General features: G+C 42.0%; 1 annotated feature.

Annotated features, from left to right (window-relative positions):
* Positions 2,147–2,316: an enhancer, noted in NCBI's record as "experimental_92032 CRE fragment used in MPRA reporter constructs". NCBI's record gives its function as "activates a minimal promoter by MPRAs in K562 erythroleukemia cells, with activity observed for both the introgressed and non-introgressed 6:47080899 variant alleles {active_cell/tissue: K562}" and the evidence as "EXISTENCE:reporter gene assay evidence [ECO:0000049][PMID:34662402]".

Genomic DNA, 8,831 nt, shown 5'->3' on the forward strand with positions numbered 1-8,831 from the left:
GGTCAGGCAAGGTGGCTTATGCCTGTAATCCTCAGCACTTTCGAATGCCAAGGAGAGTGGCTTGACTTGAGCCCAGGAGTTTGAGACCAACCTGGGCAACATGGCAAAATCCTGTTTCTACACAAAATTAAAAAAAAAAATTAACTGGGCATGGTGGTGCATGCCTGTAGTGCCATCTACTTAGGAGGCTGAGGTGAGAGGATCACCTGAGCTCGTGAGGCCAAGGCTACAGTGAGCCACGATCGTGCCACTGCATTCCAGCTTGGGCAACAGAGTGAGACCCTGTCTCAAAAAAATATGTTTTTATTCTTACTTGGAAACTCACAATTTTCTATCACAATGGAGGAAACAAAAGAACTCTCGAAAATTGTTTTCAGAGGGAAGTGAGTTTATATTTGCAGAAAATTTAAGGGAGTAGATTGTTCTGTCTTCCACAGGAAATTTCATGACACAAAATATAGAAGATAATCCGAAGCAAAAATTATCTGCCTGTTGAGGTCTGAATCAGGATGTGAAAGTTGCTCAGAGACAAGACATTGAGCAAAATATATGAGGAAAAAAATATTCAGTCCTACTGGTTCCTATCTCCACCTACCCACCTCACCAGGATTGCTAATGGTGATTGCTAGTGGGCTGTATTCCAAGGACTTAGTATCAAGTAATTTAAGATTTTCTGTTGTATCTCGACCCAAGAAGAATCAATCTTCTTGACTCTTCTCCCCCTGACTACACACATTCAAATTTTGTAAAGTATGATTCCCTCTTTCATTGACAGAAACACAACCAATATCCACAGTTTTTGCTTAGATGACCTACAAACATGTAAAGCTGTGAAAATCCTAGGAAATGACTCCAATGCAAATAAATGCCAGCTCCAGAACTCTACCTGCATTCCTGAGCCAGGATGGAACTGTCCTGAGCCAGATGAGACCAACTTGCAGAATTCCACATCCTGAGACTTCCTTTCCTTTCTGTTTCACACACATATTTTCTAATGTTAGTGTGTATAACCTGCTGACCTTTGCCCCCACTGGAATTTCTGAGCAAGCTACACATGCTCAGCAGGGTTAGGGAAGTAATTTGAGTTTCAACCACAGCGTTTTTAATTTTTTTACTTTAATCTTTATCCTTCAAACATGATGCCTTAGATACATTCTACCCCCCAAAATCTCAAAATATTAGTGGTAGAATGGTGACCCCTTCTCTCCCTTTTTCTTTTTTTTTTTCTCTCTTCCAATTTGCTGATTTTCCTACATTTTCTTCAATGAATTATGAGGTGAGGGAGATTTTCTTTAATTGCTTGAGGAAAAATTATACTCTTCTTCCTCTTAAAATATCAAGGAGCTTGCGCAAAGCTCTTAACTGGTTTGTTCTTAGCTGAGTATCAAAGGCAAGGTCAGAAGAATATGACACTTTTATGTATAGTAGCAATTTTTTAAGATAGGCTTTCTTTCTAAGCAGCTTAGGTCCTTCAGGTTCATATCCTGTATCCCTTTGTCATTTGGTAGCGCTAAGCCTCAGTTTTCATATCAGGAAAATGAAACTAATAATAGTTTATTATTCATGGTGGTGTTGAGAAGGATTACATCAGATCATCACAGCATGCATGCAGCACACTCATGTCCCCTGATCAAGCACACTTGTAAACATTTTCATTATTTTTATTGTTACTTTTGCCTTGGGATTCCTCTTCCAAAGCCAGAGCCCCTAATCCTGGATAGAAAGAGGACTCCAGCAGCATAACAGAGGCAAAGCTTTACTCCTAGCCTTCCCAGAGATTTCTCCCCAATGAACAGCCAGTCTTGTGACTGGAAACTGTGGGAAAGACCTCTAAGATGAAGATGTAATCTAGTGAGTATCCCATGACAGACCATCAAACCCACTGAATAAGACTGGACTGCTGCTCCAAACAGGCTCCCCAGGGACAAACGTTTACCCTGCCCTTACTAACAGTCCCCAAAAAGCATGCTGTCAGTGACAGAGTGAAGGTGAGTGAAGCCCCCCTGAAGATGCCCCAGCGGGGAGGTGCACCCACAACATGGGTATGAGGAGCGGATAACGTGAGGTAAAAGGAAGCCTGGGTCTGCAACTCATGTTGACAACATTACCCAGATTTCCCCAGACCCCACAGCTTTAACCCTATGTCCTAGAACCATGAGCTGGGAACACATGAACTCAGAATGGGGTTCACACATATCCCCAGATCCCAGAGTTTCCTGCCAGGCCTCTTGACTGGGAAATCTTTGCAGACCCTTATGGAGGTGCCAAGGCCATCTCCAAATTTTCCAGATTTATTGAAAAGATAACTTCCTGGCTGGGAATGTTCAAAGTAAACCACTAAACTGGAGAGGGAGAGACTTTCAGATTCCCTAAGGCCAGCTCACTGTTCTTTTGAATGCCCTTTACCATACCTAAGCCTTTAGAGACACTGGTGAAGTAAATGGTGAACTCTGGCTACTCTCTCAACCCAGAAGATTAGTCTAAGAAAGGTTTTCATGATATAAATGTTAGAAACTGATTATCTAGGCCAGGCGCGGTGGCTCACGCCTGTAATTCCAGCACTTTGGGAGGCCGAGGCGGGCGGATCATGAGGTCAGGAGATCGAGACCATCCTGGCTAATACGGTGAAACCCTGTCTCTACTAAAAACACAAAAAATTAGCCGGGTGTGATGGCGGGTGCCTGTAGTCCCAGCTTCTGGGGAGGCTGAGGCAGGAGAATGGCGTGAACCCGGGAGGCGGAGCTTGCAGTGAGCTGAGATCACGCCACTGCACTCCAGCCTGGGCAACAGAGCGAGACTCCGTCTCAAAAAAAAGAAACTGATTATCTAAACCTCAATCTCAAGAAATGGAGCTGCAGACACAGCATAACATTCCCCTGCATTTCTCAGTCTCCAAATTTGGGCCCAGAGCCCTGGAGACCCAGGAGGCTGAGAAGAGCAAAACAAGACATTTTGCCTCATGCTTCATTCCCATCTCCTGCAATTTCCTGTCAAATCTGCAGCTGTTTTCTACACCACGGCTTTACAAGGCTCATAGTAACCTCTCTCAGACAGAGGAAGACTCTAGGGTTCAACTGGGTCATCCTCCTGCCTCTCAGCAACTACACCCAACTCGTGAGATACACTCACATCTTTGTAAATTTGACTTCCCTTAAATATCTTTTAATCTCTTTCCAGGTTGAAACTTTTATAGATGTCAGGGTTGCACATTCTGATGTAGAGTAAGAAGGAAGGAGTTGTTCCCTAAATTTTCCCTTTCTTCCCATGTGCAGAGTTTCTGATTTGCACTTAACAGGAGGCTTTGTAACATGTACACCACAGCCATGTATTACAGAAACCACAGGTTTCCAGTGAATACTCCTGGGTTGGTTCAGTCCTTTGTGCAATGTACAAAATCTGGTTACATTTCAGGTCCTGGAACTTCCTGAGATATAAGGGATGATGGGGAGGAAGTGTTAAAGGTAAATGTGGTTTTGAGCCAGGATGATTGAGGCGTGGTCTCTGATAGAATAAGCAAGTCAAGAAGCAGAAAAACATTATAAAAGTTAAGATAGCAAGAGAACAGATTTGTGCGCACATTTTAGTTCATCAATGGGAGTGGAATCATGTATTTACTTATTTAGAGAGAAGGTCTTGCCTTGTCTCCCAGGCTGGAGTACAGTGATCATGTGTGATCACGGCTCACTGCAGCCTTAACCTCCTAGCTCAAGCGATCCTCACACCTCAGCCCCTTTTCCCACACTCCCAGGTAGCTGAGACTATAGGCATGCACCACCACGCCTGGCTAGTTTTTATTTTATTGTACAGATGGGGTCTCACTATGTTGCCCTGGCTTGTCTCAAACTGGGGCTCAGGTGATCCTCCTGACTGAGTAAAATCATTTTAGAGGGCTTTACACCTTCATTCTGGATTCAGAAAATATGAATCTCATTAGATAAATGAGATTGTTTCTAAAGACTTGAGGCAGGGAAGATTGCTGTGCTGCAGAAACTATTATTTGTCACAGGAGGTAACTGGAAGCATAGGAAGGAGATCCTGCAAGATAATATGAAAAATTATTTGATACTTATATATAGATTTAATAATTCTTCCATTTCTGGCATAGTCTTCAAGGAAAAGGGAAATTGTAGGGGTGATTGTAGGGGAACTAACAAGGCTTCCTCTCCCTAAGTCAACTCTGAGTTCTGAACACATTTCAGTATTTGAGAACAGTTCTCAAGTCCCCCCAAAACCTTCTATTTTTTAGTAGAATAGTCTCAGTTCCATCAAGTGATGGTTTCCAAAACCCTCAACACTCACTCTCTTCTGGATATGTTTTAGTTCATCAATATTCTTCTAAAAATATAGCATCTAGACTAGCAGAAAAATCTCTAAATGCCATCTGATCTGGTAAAAATTCAACAGATCTATCATCTCCCTTGTGCTGGCCACATTTTTCCCCTCAATGCAACTTAATGCCACATTGGATTATTTGCTGCAATGAGGCAGTCACAATTGGCTTGTATTGCCTTTGCAGTCAATTAATTCCAGTTTGTCTTTTTCAAATAAATTACTAGTTTATACTTATGCAATTATTTTGTTTTGTTTTTTGTCTGACTAAAGGCAAAAATTAACCCTTGTTAAATTATATTATGTAGATTTTAGCTGCCTGCCAATGAGCTTATTAAGACCATTTTGAATCTGGATACTGACTTCTCATTAACCATCCTTCCCAGCTATATGTCATTCCCAAATTGGTAATCAGGCCAGTTACGACTTCTCTCAAATGTTCAATAAAAATATTCAGCTGTGGGGAGAGAAACAAGCCAAGACCACTGTGGCATACGCTATTATTTTCCTCCTTCTCAACTGGGTTCTTCTTCAGGATCATATTGTTAGTGTTCACTTCATTAACTTAGAAAATATGCCATTCCATTATATAAGTCATTGAAAAACTTAATAACTTTTTTCACAATGCGTTTTTGATAAACTTCAATGGTTTGACGAAACGTAGAAGTAATTACTTCATTAAGAAAAATGTGTCTATGTTTTTAAATTGAATTAAAGAATAATGAAGTATTTTACTTGAGGCTCACATTTGGGTTAATGACATAATAATTTTCTAGCACTAGATCAAAGATGAAGGCCAAAGGGAGAGTTGAGAATCCATAAAATGGATGTATACCATAGGCTAGGATGTAGCTACTCAAACCTCAGCAGTATGTTGACATCACAATTACTTAATGATATTCCTGGATTTTTTATGATTGCATAGGCACCTAAATCACTCTGGGGCTTAACATAAATAGAGCAATAAAAGGGAGCCATCTAAAATAGCATTAACCTTTTAAAATCATGTTTCCCATTGAGTATAAGCTAAGGAATTGGGGTAATTGAGTGACTCATTTTGGCATGATTATAAAAGGGGCAGAGGGGAAACGTGCAAATATGTTGATATTCATCTAACAAATATTTTTAATAAATTAAATTGAGTCTATCCCTGGCTATGGATTCCTGAAGAATAATCACAGTTTATCAGTTAAATAATCTCCAGCCTAACCCGTATCCTCACCTTCTCTCATCTCCACCAAAGAAAATAATGAGATTTGACTTGCTGAGATGGATATGTATCTCACCCCAGCTATAACCTGAGCCTCTTTGACCAGTGAGTTTATGGGAAGGTCTTTTCCCTTCCAGGGGATCAGAGACCACCTGCTCTAAGAAGAGCAGGGAGAAAGTTGGACACACGCACAGAAAGTGGGGCATAGGGCTGGGTAGGGAAACTATTGCAGGGTAATGACGTTTCTCGTCCCTCCTCGGGTCCACCTGGCTGGCCTGGGTGTGGCAAGAATACTTCCGACTCATTCAAAGAAGCCTCACACTAGAGTGAGCAACCTTCCCAGTTTGTCCAGGACTAAGAGGTTGCCAGGAACTGAGATGTTGCCCAGCACAATGAACTTTTAATACCAAAACTGAGAAAGCTCCAGTCACACTGTGATGAGTTGGTTACCTCATACACACAACTGAACAGGAGGATTGTAAGGGCTTATCCGAGTCCACAAATCTCTTCCCTTAATTCTCCCTGAAACCAAAACTAATGGGGGGTGGTGGGGGTAGGGGGTGGAGACCTGTTCTTAATGTTACCTGTCAAAGCTCAAGGTACTGAATTTGACTCCTTCCTATGAATTCCTGAGGATGTGCAGGGTTGGTGGTTTATCATGGGCCATAATCCAAGATGTGAAGGGTGGGTGGTTTGTCATGGGCCATATAACATTGTGGACAGGAACAGAGACTCTGGTCTCAACTGCCTGAATCCAAATGCCGTGTGACCTGGAGAATTTTTCTTATCCTCTCTGTGCTTTCATGTTCTCACTTGTAAAATGGGAATGAGAGTAAGGCCTAACTCGTAAGTTTGCTGTGAGAATTAAATGAGTTATGATAAAGAGCTTAGTACATTACTGGTCACATAGTCCATAAGCATCTGCTATCATGTCTCTCTTTAGCAATCCAGCAGATCTCTGTTTGACCTTTGATCATTGCTTGTGGCGCGCTTTGTATGATCATTCTTTCTCAGCTTCAAGCACCGTGCTAGATACTAAAAATACACTCATGAATAAGACTAAGTTCCAGCTCTGCCACGGCCACAGTATAGTGGGCAAGATAGACAAATTGGCAATTGTGCTAGTAAAGTAAGAAGTAGAACAAGAGTTAAGGAGTCTGTCATGGGATATCTTAGAGGGTGACACAATTCTGTCTTCCCAATTAAGAAAGTGATATCTAGAGTGACATCTGAAGGAGAAGGAATTGGTAGGACAAAGATAGGGAGGAGGCTGATAGGGCATTTCAGGCAGAGGGAAACAACAGCATTTCGATAGCTGTAAAGTATGAGAAACATGTCACTAAAACATTAAATTCCATGCCCTGTGAGTTCCACCGATAGACCTAAAGTTGCGGAAGAAAAAGAATTGTCTCCGGCCGGGCGAGGTGGCTCACGCCTGTATTCCCAGCACTTTGGGAGGCTGACGCGGGCAGATCACGAGGTCAGGAGATCGAGACCATCCTGGCTAACACAGTGAAACCCTGTCTCTACTAAAAATACAAAAAAAATTAGCCGGGAGTAGTGGTGGGCGCCTGTAGTCCCAGTACTCGGGAGGCTGAGGCAGGAGAATGGCATGAACCTGGGAGGAGGAGCTTGCAGTGAGCTGAGATCGCGCCACTGCACTCCAGCCTGGGCGACAGAGCCCAGACTCTGTCTCAAAAAAAAAAAAAAATTGTCTTCTATTCTCCCCTTCTTTCTTTTGGTAAGAAGACCCTGTTCTCTGCTGGGTTTTAGCCAAGTGCTTAGCCCCTGAGATTTCCTTGAAACTAAGCATGACCTTGTGACTAAGTTTTGGCTAACATGCCAACTTCCAGGATCCTTTTTTTTTCCCTTTTTTTTTTTTTTAAGGAATGTGCTTGCCCTCCACTTCCTCTCTCCCTCTTCCTATGGGCTGGAATATGTGGATTTGGAGTGAGCCAGGTTCCACAATGCTGATGAGTACAATATTTCAGGAGACAGCAGAACAGCATGAAGAAAGAAACCTGGATCTGCAAGTGCCTAGCAGTGAGCAGACCCCACCAACACTGGGCCACTGCTTCTGGACCATCCTAATAAAGTAATGCAAACAAACACGTGTCTCTTTTTAAAGCCATGATATTTGAGTGTCTCCTTATTATGACAGCTTCCTTATACCCTAAGTAAGAAAAAGATAAAGGGAAAAGAGGAATAAAGTTGAAAGAGGAAATGAAGTAGGTAGGAGAAAAGAAAAGGAGAAAGAGGAAGTATGAAAGCTGGAGAAAAATAAGGCTGACAAGAAAATTAAAAAAAAAAATACTGTTTAAGCTTTCTAGTGGTTAAGTGACCTAGGATAGTAATATTTCCAAATAAGCAAATCTGGCAATTGAGGAAGAGTGGCCTGAATTAGTTAAGGACACAGGCAAGTGAAAAAGAGGCATGTTAGAGAGCTGGCCCAGGGACTGCTCTCCAGCCTCTCTGGCATCATGGCCTTCACTTCTTCATGTGGAAGGAAAACTTCCCTGATGAGCACTAACTTTATGTGGGTACTTTATATATGCTGAGTGCTTTGCATGCATCACCTCACTTAATCCTACAAGGACCCTAGAGCTAAGTACTGTCATCCCTACTTTCCATTTGAGGACTGAGAAATTAAATAATTTATCCAATATCACACAGATAGCAAGTCACCGAGATAGGATTTAAATCCAGTCAAGGCCCTCCATAGTCTGTCTAACTGCTGCCTTATACTTCATACCAGGTTGGAGAGTCTTTAGGGAAGACCCTAAGGAATAGTGATAATGCTTCAAAGTTTCAAAGAAGTTGAAGTCTAACCAAAATAGGGATATATTTTCAGCTGCCTTAAAAAGAACACAGAAGAAATACAATTTGTATCAGTTTATCCACTCCACTGCTCATAGATGATGGGCTCACTGGGTGGTGGGGGTTGGGGGGGCACCTAGACCAAGGGCAGCCAATCTATAGTGTCACCACTGGATATGCCAGTTGCTACAGCTGCAAAAATATAAGCTGACCAATTAGAGTTACCCCATTATACATTTGAAGTTGAAAACATCAGCAGAATATCCAGTTATCTACAGGAGCTAACGTCTTGATGTTGAGGTAGAAGCTAGAGAAGACTTGGATAAGTTTGAAGTTAATAGCAAGCAGAAAGTATGAGAAGGGAGAAAAATGAATAAAGATGGTAAAGTTTCATGGGAAAGAGAGCATGTAGCCCATGAACGTGGGCCAGGAAGAATTGCACAGGTTAAGTTCAGGTCATTTGTATTCATAAAAT

Source organism: Homo sapiens, chromosome 6 (genome assembly GCF_000001405.40).
Source record: "Homo sapiens chromosome 6, GRCh38.p14 Primary Assembly".
NCBI classification, from domain to species: Eukaryota; Metazoa; Chordata; class Mammalia; order Primates; family Hominidae; genus Homo; species Homo sapiens.